At 42.4% G+C, this 19,733-nt stretch overlaps 1 protein-coding gene and 1 long non-coding RNA gene across 8 annotated transcripts in view, besides 1 other annotated feature; one reads left to right on the top strand and one right to left on the bottom strand.

The window, feature by feature from the left end:
- Window positions 1-19,733, top strand: part of LOC107986023 (uncharacterized) — a 142,619-nt gene that overhangs the window by 20,723 nt on the left and 102,163 nt on the right. The gene's annotated exons all lie outside the window — the stretch shown is intronic.
- ATP2C1 (ATPase secretory pathway Ca2+ transporting 1) overlaps window positions 1-19,733 on the bottom strand; it is a 166,118-nt gene that overhangs the window by 143,514 nt on the left and 2,871 nt on the right. The window lies entirely within an intron of this gene.
- Window positions 3,515-4,403: an enhancer, noted in NCBI's record as "OCT4-NANOG-H3K27ac hESC enhancer chr3:130587640-130588528 (GRCh37/hg19 assembly coordinates)". NCBI's record gives its function as "activates a minimal SCP1, AML or CMV promoter by ChIP-STARR-seq in naive H9 embryonic stem cells {active_cell/tissue: H9 hESC(naive)}" and the evidence as "EXISTENCE:reporter gene assay evidence [ECO:0000049][PMID:30033119]".

Genomic DNA, 19,733 nt, shown 5'->3' with positions numbered 1-19,733 from the left:
ATTTAGTTACCTTTTGTAGTTTATCATTTTGTTTGTTAAATTCTTGCCTCTTTCAATTCAGTGTGGCCCCCTTTAACTTTAATAGTGCCTAATTTCTGAGTGTAGGATATATGCCCCATAGCTAATTTGATGACACTCAAGATTGTATTAATTAATAAGGTAACTGTCTTTCTTAGTCACTCTTAGTCAATATCTACATCTATTCACTTGTTTTTATTCAACCTTCAGATACCATTACTGGAGAAATTATTCTCCAAGCAGACCCTCTTCTAGAATCCCTTGGGTTTATCTTCTCAGAGTTGAAAAGTACTGCTCAAGCTGGGCGCAGTGGCTCACACCTGTAATCCCAGCACTTTGGGAGGCCGAGGCAGGTAGATCACAAGGTCAGGAGTTCAAGACTAGCCTGGCCAAAATGGTGAAACTCCGTCTCTACTAAATATACAAAAATTAGCCAGGTGTGGTGGTAGGTGCCCGTAATCACAGCTACTCGGGAGGCTAAGGCAGGAGAATCGCTTGAACCCAGGAGGCGGAGGTTGCAGTGAGCCGATTTCGTGCCACTGCACTCCAGCTTGGGTGACAGAGTAAGACCCCATCTTTAAAAAAAAAAAAAAGAAAAGAAAAGTACTCCTCAAATGGGAGTGTAGTCTCATGAATAATAATCACAGATAGGCATAGTACTGGTAAAATGGGAGTGTAATCTCATGAATAATAATCACAGATAGGCATTTTAGAGACATTATTCAATAGGTAATTGAGACATGTTAATTAACATGATCTATTGAAAAATCAACAGAATACATATTAAACATATGTCCTAAACCTAAAAGCCACTAAGTAGTATTAAGAATACTGATTTCATCTTTCCAGTTAAATTTTTGTTATTCAGAGTCTTTATAATTATGTTTAAACAATAAGCAGAGTAAGGGCTAGGGAAAAAATGAGGGTTTTATTCTTTGTTTCTTTTAATTAAGACCTCATAATGGCTTTAGAAAGTATGCAGGACCTAACAAGGATTATATCTTTTTGTATATTCCATGATTTAAATCAACAATTGAAATTCTCAGTTGCTACATCACTTTAATCAGCTATCGAAGATGATATAAACATAAGAACATATTTTAGATTATATTCTTAGGGCCAAGACATTGCTTAAAGATTTTTTTTTTTTTTTTTTTTGAGACAGAGTTTCACTCCTGTTGCCCAGGCTGGAATGCAGTGGCATGATCTCCGCTCACTGCAACCTCTGCCTCCCAGGTTCAAGCAATTCTCCAGCCCCAGCCTCCAGAGTAACAGGGGTTATAGGCACGCGCCAGCACGCCTGGCTAATTTTTGTACTTTTTAATAGAGATGGGGTTTCACCACATTGGCCAGGCTGGTCTGGAACTCCTTACTTCAGCTGATCCGCCGGCCTCTGCCTCCCAAAGTTTGGGATTATAGGGGTGAGCCACCGCCCCTGGCCTAAAGATTTCTTACTAAGCATTAAGTAACACTAGGCATCAGCCAAGGTGAATGAAAATGGTCAATTAAGAACCTGTGAAACTCTAAGTCATCATTAGTATCCCTCTGGCTTTGACAATGACTTACCATCTTCTAAGCAGCATACATGCTATTCTTGAGTAGGTATGACAAGCCCTGTCAGCTTTGATTTTGGAAATATACATCATCAAATGATCTGCAACAGTGGTTCTGAAAGTGTGGTCCCTCCCACCTGGAATTTTTTTAGAAATGCAGACTCTTGGGCCCCACCTCAGTCCTACTGTATTAGAAACTCTGGAGGTGGGGCCCAGCATTCTGTTTTAATTAGTCCTTTAGGTGATTCCAATGCATGCTAAAGTTTCAGCACTGTTTACAAGAAGCATTAAGCTTTCATCTAAAAATATTTTGATCATGCCAATAGTACTCAATTCTAAGAGTGAATAAGAATGTACAGGGATAACTCAGAGATATTGTGAGCTTGGTTTGAGACCACCACAATAAAGCAAATATCACAATACAGAAAGTCACACAAATTTTTTGGTTTCCCAGTGCATACAAAATTTATGTTTACACTGTATTGTAGTCTATTAAGTATTCAATAGCAAGTCTAAAAAAATGTATATACCTTAGTTAAAAAATACTTTATTGCTAAAGAATGTTAATGATCATCTGAACCATCAATGAGTCATAATATTTTGGCTGGTAGGGGATCTCGCCTTGACGTTAATGGCTATTGACTGATCAGGGCGGTGGTTGCTGAAAGTTGAAGTGGCGGTGGCAATTTCCTAAAATAAAACAATAATAAAGTTTGGTGCATCAATTGACTCTTCCTTGCACAAATGATTTCTCTGTATTGTCTGATGCTGTTTAGTAGCATAGTAGAACCTCTTTCAAAATTGGAGTCAGTCCTCTCAAACCCTGCCACTGCTTTATCACCTCAGTTTATAAAATACTCTAAATCCTTTGTCATCATTTCAACAATGTTCACAGCATATCTACCCAGCAATAGGTTCTATCATAAGAAAACATTTTCTGTGTTTTCTTATGAGGAAGCAATTCCTCATCTGTTCAACGTTTATCATGAAATTGCAGCAATTCAGTAACATCTTCAGGATCCACTTCTAGTTATCTTGCCCTTTCTACCACATCTGTACTTACTTCCTCCACTGAAGTCTTGAATCCCTCAAAGTCATCCATGAGGGTTGGAATCAACTTCTTCTAAACTCCTGTTAATGTTGACACTTTGTCCTCCTTTCATGAATCACAAATGTTTTTAGTGACACCTAGAATGGTGAATCCTCTCTGGAAAGTTTTCAGTTTACTTTGCCCAGATCCATCAGAGGAATCACTATCTATGGTAGCTATAGCCTTATGAAATGTGTTTCTTAAATAATAAGACTTGAAAGTTAAAATTCTTCCTTGATCCATGGACTGCAGAACAGACAGCAGACATGAAAACATTATTCTCCTTTTACCTCATGTCAGAGCTCTTGGGTGACTAGCTGCACTGTGAAGAGCAGTAATATTTTGAAAGGAATCTATTTTTTTTTTTGAGGTCTCAACAGTGGGCTTAAAATATTCAGTAAGCCATGCTATAAATGGATCTGCTGTCCTACAGGCTCTGTTGTTCCATTGATAGAGCACAAGCAAAGTAGATTTAGCATCATTCTTTAGGGACCTAGAATTTTCAGAATGATAAATCATCATTGGCTTCAACTTAAAGTCAACAGCTGTACTGGTTCCAAACAAGAAAGTCAGCCTGTGGCTTTTTATCCACATTGAAAATCTATTATTTAGTATAGCCACCTTCATCAATGATCTTAGCTAGGTCTTCTGGATTACTTGCTGCCACTTCTCCATCACTCCTTGCTGCTTCACCTTGTACTTTTATGTTATGGAGATTGCTTCTTTCCTTAAACCTCAAGAACCAACCTCTGCTATATTCAAACTTTTCTTCTGCAGCTAACCCTCCTCTCTCAACCTTCACAGAATTCAAGAGAGTTAGAGACTTACTCTGAATTAGACTTTGGCCTAAAGGAATGGTATGCCTGGTTTGGTCTTGTATCCAGACCGCTCAAACTTCCTGCACATTAGCAAAAATACTGTTTAGCTTTCTTATCATTTGTGTGTTCACTGGAGTAGCACTTTTAATTTCCTTCAAGAATTTTCCTTTGTATTGACAACTTGGCTAACTGATGCATGAGGCCTAGCTTTCAGCCTACCTCAGCTTTCAACATGCTTCCTCATTAAGCTTAATCATTTCTTTTTTTTTTTTTTTTTTTTTTTTTTTTTTATTTTTTATTGATCATTCTTGGGTGTTTCTCGCAGAGGGGGATTTGGCAGGGTCATAGGACAATAGTGGAGGGAAGGTCAGCAGATAAACAAGTGAACAAAGGTCTCTGATTTTCCTAGGCAGAGGACCCTGCGGCCTTCCGCAGTGTTTGTGTCCCTGGGTACTTAAGATTAGGGAGTGGTGATGACTCTTAACGAGCATGCTGCCTTCAAGCATCTGTTTAACAAAGCACATCTTGCACCGCCCTTAATCCATTTAACCCTGAGTGGACACAGCACATGTTTCAGAGAGCACAGGGTTGGGGATAAGGTCACAGATCAACAGGATCCCAAGGCAGAAGAATTTTTCTTAGTACAGAACAAAATGAAAAGTCTCCCATGTCTACTTCTATCCATACAGACCCGGCAACCATGCGATTTCTCAATTTTTTCCCCACCCTTCCCGCCTTTCTATTCCACAAAACCGCCATTGTCATCATGGCCCATCCCCAATGAGCCGCTGGGCACACCTCCCAGACGGGGTGGTGGCCGGGCAGAGGGGCTCCTCACTTCCCAGTAGGGGCGGCGGGGCAGAAGCGCCCCTCACCTCCCGGATGGGGCGGCTGGCCGGGCGGGGGGCTGACCCCCCCACCACTCTCCCGGACGGGGCGGCTGGCCAGGCAGAGGGGCTCCTCACTTCCCAGTAGGGGCGGCCGGGCAGAGGCGCCCCTCACCTCCTGGATAGGGCGGCTGGCCGGGCGGGGGGCTGTCCCCCCCCACCTCCCTCCCGGACGGGGCGGCTGGCCGGGCAGAGGGGTCCTCACTTCCCAGTAGGGGCGGCCGGGCAGAGGCGCCCCTCACCTCCCGGACGGGGCGGCTGGCCAGGCGGGGGGCTGACCCCCCACCTCCCTCCCGGGCGGGGCGGCTGGCCGGGCAGAGGGGCTCCTCACTTCCCAGTAGGGGCGGCCGGGCAGAGGCGCCCCTCACCTCCCGGACGGGGCGGCTGGCCAGGCGGGGGGCTGACCCCCCACCTCCCTCCCGGACTGGGCGGCTGGCCAGGCCGGGGGCTGACCCCCCCACCTCCCTCCTGGACGGGGCGACTGGCCGGGCAGAGGGGCTCCTCACTTCCCAGTAGGGGCGGCCAGGCAGAGGAGCCCCTCACCTCCCGGACAGGGCAGCTGGCCGGGCGGGGGGCTGACCCCCCCACCTCCCTCCCGGATGGGGCGGCTGGCCGGGCAGAGGGGTCCTCACTTCCCAGTAGGGGCGGCCGGGCAGAGGAGCCCCTCACCTCCCGGCCGGGGCGGCTGGCCGGGCGGGGGGCTGAGCCCCCCCACCTCCCTCCGGGACGGGGTGGCTGCCGGGCGGAGACGCTCCTCACTTCCCAGACGGGGTGGTTGCCGGACGGAGGGGCTCCTCACTTCTCAGACGGGGCGGTTGCCAGGCAGAGGGTTTCCTCACTTCTCAGACGGAGCGGCCGGGCAGAGACGCTCCTCACATCCCAGACAGGGCGGCAGGGCAGAGGTGCTCCCCACATCTCAGACGATGGGCGGCCGGGCAGAGACGCTCCTCACTTCCTAGATGTGATGGCGGCGGGGAAGAGGCGCTCCTCGCTTCCTAGATGGGATGGCGGCCGGGCAGAGACGCTCCTCACTTTCCAGACTGGGCAGCCAGGCAGAGGGGGCTCCTCATATCCCAGACGATGGGTGGCCAAGCAGAGACGCTCCTCACTTCCCAGACGGGGTGGCGGCCGGGCAGAGGCTGCAATCTCGGCTCTTTGGGAGGCCAAGGCAGGCGGCTGGGAGGTGGAGGTTGTAGCGAGCCAAGATCACGCCACTGCACTCCAGCCTGGGCACCATTGAGCACTGAGTGAATGAGACTCCGTCTGCAATCCCGGCACCTCGGGAGGCCGAGGCTGGCGGATCACTCGCGGTTAGGAGCTGGAGACCAGCCCGGCCAACACAGCGAAACCCCGTCTCCACCAAAAAAAAACGAAAACCAGTCAGGCGTGGCGGCACTCGGCAGGCTGAGGCAGGAGAATCAGGCAGGGAGGTTGCAGTGAGCCGAGATGGCAGCAGTACCATCCAGCTTTGGCTCGGCATCAGAGGGAGACCGTGAGGGAGAGGGAGAGGGAGAGGGAGAGGGAGAGGGAGAGGGACAATCATTTCTATTTTTTGATTTAAAGAGAGGAATGTATGACTCTTTCTTTCACTGGAACATTTACAGGCCATTGTAGGGTTATTATTGGACTACTTTCAGTACTATTGTGTCCCAAGAAATAGGAAGGCCCAAGGAGAAGAGAGCTGGGGAAATCACTGGTCAGTGGAGAAGTCAGCACACACATTTATCCATTAAGTTTTCTGTCTAATGCGGGCATGATTCAGGGCACCCCACAACAATTACAATAGTAACATCAAAAATTACCACAGGTCATCATAACAGATATAATAATAATGGGAAAGTTTGAAACATTGCAAGAATTACTAAAATGTGACACAGAGACATGAAGTGAATACATGATTTTGGAAAAATAGTGCCAATGAACTTCCTCAATGCAAGGTTGCCAGAAACCTTCAATTTATAAAAAACACAATTACCTGTTAAGTGCTATGTATATATAAGTGAAGTGGAATAAAATGGAAGTATGACCGTACATGAATATTTAAACCTCCTCCAGCATTCTTAAATTATATAAGGATTTGAATTTCTTTGAGTAGACACTTATTGGCCTAAAACCAGCTATTTTAAAATATGAGAGGAAAGAGTATTAAAATCATAAAGAAATCATACTTCTCCCCTCTTAGGTAATTGAGTATCACATTGGCAAAACCACAGTTTGAGAGAATAAGAACAAAGTTAGCAATTCAGTGATAATGGAGCTACAGTTGTCATCCTAGCTATGAAGCCAGTTTTTGTTTTCTTATTCCAGGTCAGGACCTTTGGAACAATGCTTCTTTGACTAGGTGTATCAGGCTTTAGCAGCACCAGTTAGATGAAAGAAGAGGAGTAGGGAAGCTTCACAAAGTAAGGATAAAATGCCATTTTCTTGAAACTGGGTTTCTCAAACAAATAATTTTATCCTTAAAGAAAATAAGTTGGATAACATTTCAGAGGCTCTAAAAATTTCAAGTATATTACACACAAATTTTATGTTGGGGACAGAGCAAAAGGAGTTTTTTGACGCTAGTGAAATGGCTTTACACAATTCTCACTATTTAATCACTTGAAACAAACATGTCTTCATTATTTAAGGCTAAAATACTTCTATAATTTGCTTTATTTATTTTTAGATGACTTATAAGCCATGGTCTAGTTAAGTTGTAAACTTGGGTAATATAGTAATGGTACAGAACAGAATTGTAAGCACTGCTTACATTTAAGGATAATTATGCATATATAATCAAAAAAGGAGGATTCTAGAGTTTCAGCTAAGAATAGGATATATATGAAAAAAGTAGACATTTCAATACATTCTCAATGAGCAAAATTCAGCAAAAAAGGTCAATATATGATTATGGGGATTAAACAAAGTTAAAAAATTTTTAAATCAACATAAAGATGATCTTTATCTAGAGTATCAGACAAGTTTCAGAAACTATGTATATTAGTCTGTTTTGATGCTGCTGAAAGACATCCCCAAGACTGGGATAAAAAAGAGGTTTAATTGGACTTACAGTTCCACATGGCTGGGGAGGCCTCAGAAACATGGCGGGAAGTGAAAGGCACTTCTTACATGGTGGCAGCAACAGAAAATGAGGAAGAAGCAAAAGCAGAAACCCCTGATAAACCCATCAGACCTTGTGAGACTTATTCATTATCATGAGAATAGCTCCGGGAAGACTGGCCCCTATGATTCAATTACCTCCACTTGGGTCCATCCCACAACACATGGGAATTCTGGAAGATAGAAGTCAAGTTGAAATTTGGGTGGGGACACTGTCAAACCATATTATTCTGCTCCTGGGCCCTCCAAATATCATCTCCTAACATTTCAAAACCAATCATGCCCTCCCAACAGTCCCCCAAAGTCTTAAGCCATTTCAGCATTAACCCAAAAGTCCACAGTTCAAAGTTTCACCTGAGAGAAAGGCAAGTCCCTTCCGCCTATGAGCCTGTAAATCAATAGCAAACTAGTTACTTCCTAGATACAATGGAGGTACAGGTATTGGGTAAATGTGGCCATTCCAAATGGAAGAAATTGGCCAAAACAAAGGGGTTACGAGGCCCATACAAGTCCAAAAATTCAGTAGGGCAGTCAATTTTTAAAGCTCCAGAATGATCTCCTTTGACTCCAGGTCTCACATCCAGGTCATGCTGATGCAAGATTGGGTGCCCATGGTCTTAGGCAGCTCCACCCCTGTGGCTTTGCAGGGTACAGCCTCCCTCCTTGCTGCTTTCATGGGCTGACGTTGAGTGTCTGCGGCTTTTCTAGGAGCACGGTGCAAGCTGTCGGTGGATCTACCATTCTGGGGTCTGGAGGATGGTGGCCCTCTTCTCACAGCTCCACTAGGCAGTGCCCCAGTAGGGACTCTGTATGGGGGCTCTGACTCCACATTTCCCTTCCACACTGCTCTGGCAGAAGTTCTCCATGAGGACCCCACCCCTGCAGCAAACATTTTCCTGGGCATCCAGGTGTTTCCATACATCTTCTGAAATCTAGGTGGAGGTTCCCAAACCTCAATTCTTGACTTCAGTGCATTCACAGGCTCAACAACACGTGGAAGCTGCCAAGGCTTCGGGCTTCCACCCTCTGAAGCCATAGCCTGAGCTGTACATTGGCCCCTTTCAGCCATGGCTGGAACACAGGGCACCAAGTCCCTAGGCTGCACACAGCACAGGGACCCTGGGCCCAGCCCACGAAACCACAGGCCTCCAGGCCTGTGATGGGAGGGGCTGCTGTGAAGGTCTCTGAAATGGCCTGGAGATACTTTCCCCATGGTCTTGGGGATTATCATTAGGCTCCTTGCTACTTATGAAAATTCCTGCAGCCAACTTGAATTTCTTCCCAGAAAATGGGTTTTCCTTTTCTATCACATAGTCAGGCTGCAAGTTTTCCAAACTTTTATGCTCTGCTTCCCTTATAAAACTGAATGTCTTTAACAGTGATGAAGTCACCTCTTGAATGTTTGCAGCTTAGAAATTTTTTCTGTCAGATACCCTAAATCATCTTTCTTAAGTTCAAAGTTCCACAAATCTCTAGGGCAGAGGCAAAATGCTGCCACTCTCTTTGCTAAAACATAACAAGAGTCACCTTCACTCCGGTTCTCAACAAGTTCCTCATCTCCATCTGAGACCATCTCAGCCTGGACCTTATTGTCCATATCACTATCAGCATTTTGGACAAAGCCATTCAACAAGTCTTTAGGAAGTTCCAAACTTTCCCAAATTTTCCTGTCTTCTTCTGAACCCTCCAAACTGTTCCAACCTCTGCCTGTTTCCCAGTTCCAAAGTCACTTCCACATTTTCGGGTATCTTTTCAGCAACACCCCACTCTACTGGTACCAATTTACTATATTAGTCTGTTTTCATGCTGCTGATAAAGATATGCCCGAGACTGGGAAGCAAAAGAGGTTTAATTGGACTTACATTTCCACATGACTAGGGAGACCTTGGAATCATGGCGGAAGGCAAAAGGCACTTCTTACATGGCAGCAGCAAGAGAAAATGAGGAAGAAGCAAAAGCAGAAACCCCTGATAAACCCATCAGATCTCATGAGACTTATTCACTATAATGAGAATAGCATGGGAAAGACCAGCCCCCATGATTCAATTACCTCCCCCTGGGTCCCTCCCACAACACCTAGGAATTCTAGGAGATACAGTTTAATTGAGATTTGGGTGTGAACACAGCTAAACCATATCACTATACTATAATTGCAAATAACACATGAGTTTGCAAAAGCTTGATTACATCTTAATGAATTCTTAAAGACTTTATCTTTCTTTAGTGATGTTTTAGTTTTTCCACTATGTGATCTTAAACAGCAATAACACAGTCTTTCTCTGTGTGTGTGTGTGTTAACTGGTCTGCTTGGAAGAATAGTAAATGGTGTGTTTAATATTAATTAGACTAATATAGGAGTATAGAGATCTATTTGTATTTGCAAAGAATCCCTTTGCAAATAATTCTTTTTTGAATATAAATGGTGGCAGAGGAGTCTGAGACCTTTGAGTTTTAGCAGTACCAGAACATCTATATCTTCAACATATTATTTATAAAATATACTGAATAGAACATCCTCTACTTCATTCAATGAGTTTGGGAGCTGAAGCTGCTCAGAATAGGATCTCATATAACATCATTTTTTGAAGCGCTATATGGCATGGACTCTTGTGTATTATAGTGTAATACCATTTTTTTTGGTTACACCTTTCCTCCAGAGCTGGGTTTTCTTGGAAGCCAACAAAGCTTAAGCTTCAAGGTCCCTCACTTGCAGAACCCTCTTTAAGGCCCCGAGAAAGACTCTAGCATTGTTCTCATAATCTTATGTTTCGTTAAAAATTTGCAAAATATATTTTAACTGCAATTGGCTTGAGAGCACTCTTTTTACTGGCTATCCCTCCTTCACAATTCTACTCCTATCAGGTAGCACTGAAGTGGCCATAGGTATGTCTTGGATCTGGCTCAAAGAAAGTTGAGATGGGGATACCCTTAGATTTCATTTGGATTTAGTGGATTATATAATTGTGGTTTGTAGTCATGCCTGTGCATGGTTAAGTTATTGCTAAATGTTTTGGTGGAGAAATGACATACAGGAATATCCCTACTACCTGTACTAAATCACTGGGCTGAAATCTTCATATAAATATGTCCTATGGTGCTCAGCACCTGAAGTATGTGGGTAGTAAAGGAGAAACAGAGCCAAAAGCTAGGCGATGGAACTTTTCTAGACTCTAATGAAAAACAATTAACTATGTCAGGGGAGTATCTGAATTATCTTTCTATTATCTCTTTATAGAATATTTAAAAAATCAGCCAAGTGCGGTGGCTCACACCCATAATTTCAGCACTTTGGGAGGCCGAGGCAGGCAGGTCACCTGAAGCCAGGAGTTCGGGACCACGCTGGCCAACATGCTGAAACCCTGTCTCTTACTAAAAATAAATAAATAAATAAATAAATAAATAAATAAATAAATAAAGTGAATAAGTAAGTATAATAAATAAAAATAAAGGCCGGGCACAGTGGCTCATGCCTATAATCCCAGCACTTTGGGAGGCCAAGGAGTAGGGATCACGAGGTCAGGAGACTGAGACCATCCTGGCTAACACGGTGAAACTCCGTCTCTACTAAAAATACAAAAAAAAAAAAAAAATTAGCCAGGCATGGTGGCAGGCGCCTGTAGTCCCAGCTACTCGGGAGGCTGAGGCAGGAGAATGACATGAACCCAGGAGGTGGAGCTTGCAGTGAGCCAAGATGGCGCCACTGCACTTCAGCCTGGGCGACAGAGCGAAACTCCATCTCAAAAAAAATTTTTTTAATTAAAAAATCAAAATCAAAATAAATCATCATTGTGTTAGGAGGTCATTAAAGATCCTGTGGCCCCCACATTGTAGGAACAAAACATTTAGGGTGTATTCATTAATTTTTAATTGGTAAAAACACTTATTTCCTAGATTTTGTGATGCCTATGGTATTTGTCACTCAGATTTGTAATTTGTTGTGATTTCTTCTTCCATTCTAAATAAGTATTCACTTCGTATCTACTTTAATGTTGACAATTTTGTGATGTTAATTTTATGTCTCAATTTTACTGGGCTAAGGGATGGTCAGATAGCTGGTAAAATAAATAAATAAATAAAAATAAAAAAACACATTATATCTGGGTGTGTCTGTAAGGTGTTTGGGGGAAGAGATTAGCATTTGCATTAGTGGACTGAGTAAAGAAGATTCACCCTCATCAGTATGAACGTTCCTCATCCAATCCATTGAGAACCCAAATAGGACCAAAAGGCAGAGGAAGGGTGAATTTGCTTTCTCTGAACTGGAACATTGATCTTCTCCTGCCTTCAGACATTAGTGCTCCCAGTTCTTACGCCTTCTGACTCTGAATAAATTACATTGCTGTCTTTCTGGGTTCTCAAGCTTATAGACAGCAGATTATGGGATTTCTCTGCCTCCATAATTGCATGAGCCGATTCCCATAATAAATACCTCACCTCCTAGAGAACCCTGATACAGACTTTTGAGATAAGGTCTCACTCTGTTACCCAGGCTGGAGTGCAGTGGCGTGATCTCGGCTCACTGCAACCTCTGCCTCTCAGGTTCAAGTGATCCTCCTGCCTCAGCCTCCCGAGTAACTAGGACTACAGGTGCATGCCACCAAGCCTGGCTAATTTTTGTATTTTTAGTAGAGACAGGGTTTCACCATGTTGTCAGGCTGGTTTTGAACTCCTGACCTCAACTGATCCACCCACCTCAGCCTCTCAAAGTGTTGGGAATACAGGCGTGAGCCACCGCACCATGTCGAGAAACCTGATACAGATTTTATATTCTTTTTCTTAAACAAAGTCTCCCAAATTGAATAAACTTTAAACTTTGCAAAAACCTGTATTTCCACCTATATTTCTCATTCTAAAAAAGATTTAAGGTATCTTCCAAACACAATAGTTATGATGGTTTTATTTTCAACTCCTTTATCCTCATAAATGAGAGAAAATCTGAGGTCAAGGAAAAAAGGAAGGAAAAAGTAAGAAAGGAAGGAGTGAAGGGAAGAAGGAGAGAAAGGAATCCTATCTATGGGAGGTATCTCTGTATGAGGGAATGAATTGGGCTTTGAGGTCAAACAGACAAACCTGGAGCTAAAATCTCAGAGTCATCATTTATGAGCTATGTAGCAAGTTACTTTACCTCTTGAAACCTCAGTTCTCTCACCCACAAAATGGGGATAATACCACTGACTTTGCAAGGTTATTATGAGAAATAAATTACAACATACGTAAAGCACCTTGTCAAGTGCCTGACACATATAAGGCATTTAATACAAATTTAAAATATTTTATTCTTGAATGCATAACCTAAGTTGTATCTCCTGAAATAGCCTTACTAATATGCCACCTTTAGGGTGAGTAGGAAAGAAATAATTCCAACATTTTTCCTGCTCTCTTCACAGCAAATCATGAGCAGTACAACATATGTGGGTATTTTCATTTTGTTTTCTGTCAAGACATGGGACTGTCTGTACAAGGTGCAAAAATATGTCATCTTTCATTCTGAACAAAAGCTAACGAAGTGTAGATGAACTGTCTAAAACATGGAATGGGATAGCAAATTTAGGAATCTTTAAAAAAGCTACACTGTCACAGAAAAGGGTTTTGCACTTTATGTTTGTTTTAATGAAAAATAATCATACATTAACTGTATTAGGGCAGTATCCAAATTATCTTTCTACTATCTCTTCACAGAGTATTTAAAAACCATCACTTTATGAGGAGGTGATTAAAGACCCTGTGGCCCCCACAATGTAGGAACAAAATATTTTAGGATGGATCTGTTAACTTTTAATTGGTAAAAACACTTATTTTCTAGATTTTTTTGATGCTTGTGATATTTGTCATTCGAATTTGTAATTTGTTGTGATTTCTAATTCAATTTCTTATTCTAATAATGTGCTTATTTCAAAGACAAAGCAACAGTTTTGATATTCATCCATTTACTGACTCCCATGTTTCAAAGGCACCAGAGCACAGTAGGTTAGAAAAATTTTAAAGTAAATGAAGGGATTAAAAATAGCTCAGAAATCAACCCAGGGTCCAGGTGTCTCTTAGGCTTGTCTGACACTTCACTGCTGTGATGCTGTGGACAAGAAGGATGGAACACCTTCAGAAGGGACCATAATAAACGGCAAGTTGCCAGCACTGACTGCATTGAAGAAAATCTGAAGGTAAAAGAGGCTTGATTGAAGAAGAAGAAAAAACAACAGTGGTTAAAGTGCCACAAAATAACCTGAAATTTCTTGGCACCCCCATTTATCAATGACTGCTATGTATATTTAGCTATTTATCGTTATACTGGAAGGGGTTAGATAACTTACAAACTATGGATTAGAAGTAGTTAAGTGGTCGATTAGGCTTAGAAAAGCTAGTCACAGGTACATAGCTCTTCACTTGAGGTCTTTGCTAGATGTAACTTTTGTTTTTTACCTTGACGGAGAATTACATGCTACTCTAATCACCAAAGGCATTTGATTCTGTCTTCTTTGGTCTTAGACTCTAGAGCAACATGCTAAGACTATGGAGTATTTACCACTAACCAAATAAAACGGGAATCCTAACTACACATCTATGCCCTCTGCCCTCTCCTTATTTCTAAAATATCTGAATTGTTCATCTCTCTATTGCCTATTATACTAGAATATCAGAGCTGGAACCTAATAAGTCATTCAGTCTTCTCTTTTATGATGCAGAAACCATTGCCACAACATCCCCTAAGGAGGGGTCACATACCCCCGCACTCTGCAGAAGATAATTCATTTCTTTACCTTTCATTTTTAGAAAGTTCATCTTTATTAGTATATCATAATCCCTCCCTGCAATTCTACCCATTGGTCATGGTTATTTCCTCCGGAACCTCCCAAATGCATACCTATCTTTCTTCATGAATTAGCCCTATGATTCTTAAGTCCAATACCTTAATCACTCAGCCATTCTGGTACTACAGCCCTAAGATTCTTACAAAACACATACACAAACACATATACAAAAGCAGTCATGTATCTTCCTCACAAAGTCTAACATCCAGGATTATTTCAAGTACTTCAGTCTCAAGATAGAATTCATTGCACCCCTACTCCCCACATTCACTAATTCCACAAACTTGTATTCAGTGCCTTCCATCTGTCAGGCACTTTGCTAGTCACCTGGGATACATCGGGAATCAAATAGCCCCCACAGAAAGATGCGAAATTGCTACTAGGATAAATACAGCAAAGGACAGTTACCAAGTGCCTTCAAAGGATGTAATGAAGCAAGGTGGAAAAGTCAGAAAAGGCTGCTCTAAAGGAGTTAATATTGAATTAAAATCTGAAGGAAGAGTAGATACTAACTGAGGGAGGATAGAAAGATGATTATTGGAACAGATGCCCTAGCCAGGAAGTAGCAGGGAAACTTGCATACATAGAAGAAGTGTGCTATAGCTAGGGTTCAGAGAACAGGGGGTGTGATGGTTAATATTGAGTGTCAACTTGATTGGATTGAAGGATGCAAAGTATTGTTCCTGGATGTGTCTATGAGGGTATTGCCAAAGGGGATTAACATTTGAGTCAGTGGACAGGGAGAGGCAGACCCACCCTCAATCTGGGTGGGCGCCATCTAATCAGCTGCCAGCACAGCTAGAATAAAGCAGGCAGAAGAAAGTGGCATGAGGAAACTGGCTGAGTCTTCCGGCCTTCATCTTTCTCCCATGCTGGATGCTTCCTGCACTGGAACATCGGACTCCAAGTTCTTCAGCTTTTGGACTCTTGGACTTAACACCAGTGATTTACCAGGGGCTCTCAGGCCTTTGGCTACAGACTGAAGGCTGCACAGTCAGCTTCCCTACTTTTGAGGTTTTGAGACTCAGACTGACTTCCTTGATCCTCAGCTTGCAAACGGCCTATTGTGGGATTTCACCTTGTGATCGTGTGACTCATGTGAGTCAATTCTCCTAATAAACTCCCCATCATATATGCAAATATCCTCTAGTTCTGTCCCTTTAGAGAACCCTAACTAACACAGAGGGGCAAGGTCAACATGCAGCAGGGAGAGAATCAGAGCTGGACCATACAAACCCCTCCACATTAGGGAGCTTTGTCTGTATCCAAAAAGCAAATGGAAGCCAGTGAAAGATCATAAGCATGGGGCTAGGTGGTAGTGTTCAGAAGACCTCTCTGACTGTAGTGTGGATTACTGGGAGACCAATGAGGAAGGTATTACAGTATTTCAGGCAAGAAGTAATGACGGTCTTTGGGCTAGGGTGGTGAAAGAGGGAAGTAGACCAACCGGTTTGGGAGTTTTTTAGGGGTAGAATTGAATGGAGTTGGTGATAGATTAAATATTGACTAAGGGAGCAGAAAGCACCAAAGATGAACCTAGGCCTCTGCCTAAATATCAGGATGGTGATATTTTCTTAGATAGTGAAGACATATTTGGGAGAGAGAAAGACCATGAGGGTGGTTGCTGACAACTAGAAAGCCATTTATCTTTATGCAAGCTATCAATGATAACTCTCAGGCATCTTGTAGATAATGTGAAAAACCATTGGTAGCTTTTTATTTTTTGGTAAATACATAGCTCATTTAAAAAATTTCTCCCTTCAGATAGAGGAAAAGGTTGTCATTACCATAATAAAATAGTTCCACTTTTAATGTCACATTTAATAATCAGAAATATTAAAGTTCAACTTCATGTTGTCACAATTTAACTGTCAATGTTACCTATATATAATTATACAAATTCCTCCACAGGAGTGGCATAGACTCTCTGTCCTCTATCTTAACCCATTTGTGCCCAAAGTTACAATTTTTTGAATTTTTGCAATCAGACCTTGGCGATGGCCTTGAGCAGTAGGATGTAAATAACTCCCACATGCTTATTGTTCCAATAATGGAACACTAGGTATAAATGAGATAACATTTATTAAGTTCTACAAGGAAAATCTTTTCCTCCTGTTTGTGAAGGACTGAAATTTTTTCTACTCAAGCACAAGCACAGGGGGCAAGGTCAACATGCAGCAGGGAGAGAATCAGAGCTGGACCACACAAACCCCTCCACATTAGGGAGCTTTGTCTGTATCCAAAAAGCAAATGGAAGCCAATGAAAGATCATAAGCATGGGGCTAAGGGGACATGGAGAAGCACTTTTAGTTTCCCCTCAAATATCATTTGAACTGACAATGGATAGCATTTCATGACTTTTCAAAAAGACTTTTTACAATGAATAGCTTTGGTATACACTCAAGATATAACCAACTTACTGACTTTATGGAGCTAAAAACATTTCTTAAATCAAGTTGTAGTGAAACGTCTATCATTTTACCTAGAGAATCAGAGCCTACATCAGCAACCTCAAATCCTTATTTAGCCTTGGAAATCTCAATATAGTTTTCTTTGGAATGGGGAGTTCTTAATTTTTATAGTATCATTCAGAGTAAGTATGAGAGCCAAAATGCAGAAATAAGTTTCTAAAATTCAAATTAAATTCAAATATTTATTTAACAGTGCAACTTTGAGGTTAGCATTCATTAAGAAACAGAGCAGCAAAGAAAAAAAATTCCAGTGATCCCGTTCCAACTAGAAACATTTTCTTAAGCCATTGAAAGGAAACTTTAGAACAGCTTCCAAAACAAAATTTGATTCTACTCTGTAATTAAAATGTAGCTACAGTACATGCCCCCTGGGCCCAAAGACCACTCTCCTCATTTTAAGCAGATTCACTGTTAAACAGGCAAGACTTGTCAGATCAGCCCTTGAATGGTATTTCTCAATCAGGAAAAAAAAAATCTCTGTTCAAGAGAGCGAGACATTGGTACAGGTCATCCCAAATTCTTGTAGATTAAATTAGCTGGCCTGTGTTTTCTGACTCCTTCTCGGCTTTCCTCCTGCAGGGACACATAGAAGTGGGGATTCAGACTGGCGAGGCTGCTGAAGGGCAGTGTAAGTTGAGGGACAAGGCAAAAAAGAGCAGGCTCTGCTCTGCCTCAGTCTCTCATCAAAACGTCTTATTTGTTATTGACAAGTTGACAAGTTGACCCTCAGGCATCACCTATTCTCTGGACCCATCCTGTAGAGTTTTTTTCTCATATGGCCTTTTTCTACATCTCTGCTTAGGGGTTCACTATACATAACAGAATGAGAGTCAAGCGAACCAAATTCTAATCCCAGCACTGACACAGATGAGCCATGCGAGCTTGGGCAAATCTCTTAGTTTGTGACACTAGTTTCACGTCTGTAAAATAAATTCCTCTACATGATTTCCCCTAGATCTCAACAGCCTCTGCTTACTAAGGATAATAACCCTATTTTCACCATCTCTTACCCTCACCTGCATAAAAACACCTCAGCCCCGTGAACCCTCCAACCCCACGGCTTCTCTAATACTTACAAAGTCCCCTTTTTCCATTCAATTACATTAATTTATCATCTATGTGCCAGATTTATGCTTAGCACTGGGACTAAACTAGCAAACAAAATAATATCATATTCCCCGCATTGAGCTAAAATAAGATTTTCATTTAAAGCAGAAAATTCTGACTGCTACAGGAGACACAGATTGTAGGATAACCAGAGTGAACATGGAGACACGAATTGGAAAACTATTGCAATAGTTCAAGTAAGAAAAGATGGTTGGCAGGATTAGAAGGGTGAAGATGGAGAATTCAATAACTATTTTAGAAGTCTTACTAAAGGATTAGGAAGGGGACGTAAGGGGGAGAAAGGGAAAAAGAGAGGTGCCAAGGTGACTCCCAGGTTTCTGGTTTGAGCTTTTGTGTTGATTGATGGAAAAACCTGGGGAGGAGCATGTTTGGAGCTTGTGGAATTCTCTTTGGACACATTCAGTCTGCAACATTCACAAGACATTCAGATGGAGATATCAAGTAGATGATTGGATGCAAGGCTGAAGTGCTCTGGGTATAAACATTTGGGAGTTTTCAGCAAATAGGTGTTTGAAACCATGGGAATAGAAGAACTCACCCAAGGAGAGAGAGTAGACTGTCCCACATGAGCTGACAAACTGTCTTCTCATTGTTTGGTGCTAGCACCCATATGTAGCCCAGGGGTGCTGGCCCCTAAGAGCAGTACTCCCCAGGGGTTCATGAGGTATTTGGTTCTTGGCAGGCATCTCCAGGCTAAAGCTAGACTATAGTCAGCCCAGAAGTGGAGCAAATTCTCCCTTCCACACTCAGTGTCCCGCTTGATCACCTGAGCCACAGATCAGGCTGCTGAGTCTCTAGTACTTAGGGGAACATTGCCTGCAAGTCTCACTCATTCCTTATAAACTAGACACCAACATCTGAGCCAGGTGCTGGATGTTGCCCTCAGACCAAAATAAAATAACCGAAACCAAACACCCTTATGCGTGCGTTCAGCACACCTACTCAAACTCATCTGAGACTCCATTTAGGCTCAGGCTGCCCAACGTTCACCACCACCACTGTTACTACCACACCATTTGAATAATTCTGAGAGAAAGGTTAACAAATTTTCCCAACCTTCAGCATCTTCATCTCATTAATGCTGTTAATCTTCTACATATGTGGGGATTTGGCTTTGTGAAACACTTGCTGCAAGAGAATCTAGGGAAGCAAAGGATGAAATATTTGTTCTCAATTTGATAAATAACCTACCAACCTATTGATGGCTGTATCACAGGAATAACACTACCACCACCAGAAAAAGCTACCAAACAAATCAACCCTCATGTCAAATCTTCTTGTCTGTATGACACCAAGTGCGAGAAGAGCACTAGGAGAAGTTTTAAACAATAAAGCATATGTGAACAAGGTGAGTGTAACAATGATCATAATTTGGACCACAGAAAAGGGGTATGGGGAACTTCTAGGCCTAGTAAAAACAACAAAGGAGGTCTGTGTCACAGTCAATCCAGTGTGTACCCTCTGCCTGTTGTGTGGGTCACCTTTACACCAGTATCTGCCAGGCTCCAGTATGCCTCAGGGAACAAAGAACAAGATAACATCCAGTGTCATGTGTGCATGGGTGCACGAATATCGACATGAAATCACATGATTTACTACATAGAATGTAGTAAGGGCTGTGTCTGAAGCAAACAAAATATCTTGGAAAAGGAAGACTTCATTCTTCCCAGCAGCACTGGAGAAAGCTTTTCACTGAGCCCATTTAATCCAAGTATTGAAGGATGTACAGGAGACCTCCAGGAGGGCAAGTTGTAAGTAAAGGAGAGAATTCTAGGCTAGAGGGGGGAGTTCATTTAAATGTGCAAAAGTAAAGAAGCAGATGGTGTTCTGTTATAATATTCCCCAAGTATGTGGAAGTCA

This window comes from Homo sapiens, chromosome 3, assembly GCF_000001405.40.
Source record: "Homo sapiens chromosome 3, GRCh38.p14 Primary Assembly".
Lineage (NCBI taxonomy): Eukaryota > Metazoa > Chordata > Mammalia > Primates > Hominidae > Homo > Homo sapiens.
The sequence above is the reverse complement of the archived record's forward strand: the minus strand, read 5'-3'. Positions and strand labels throughout refer to the sequence as shown.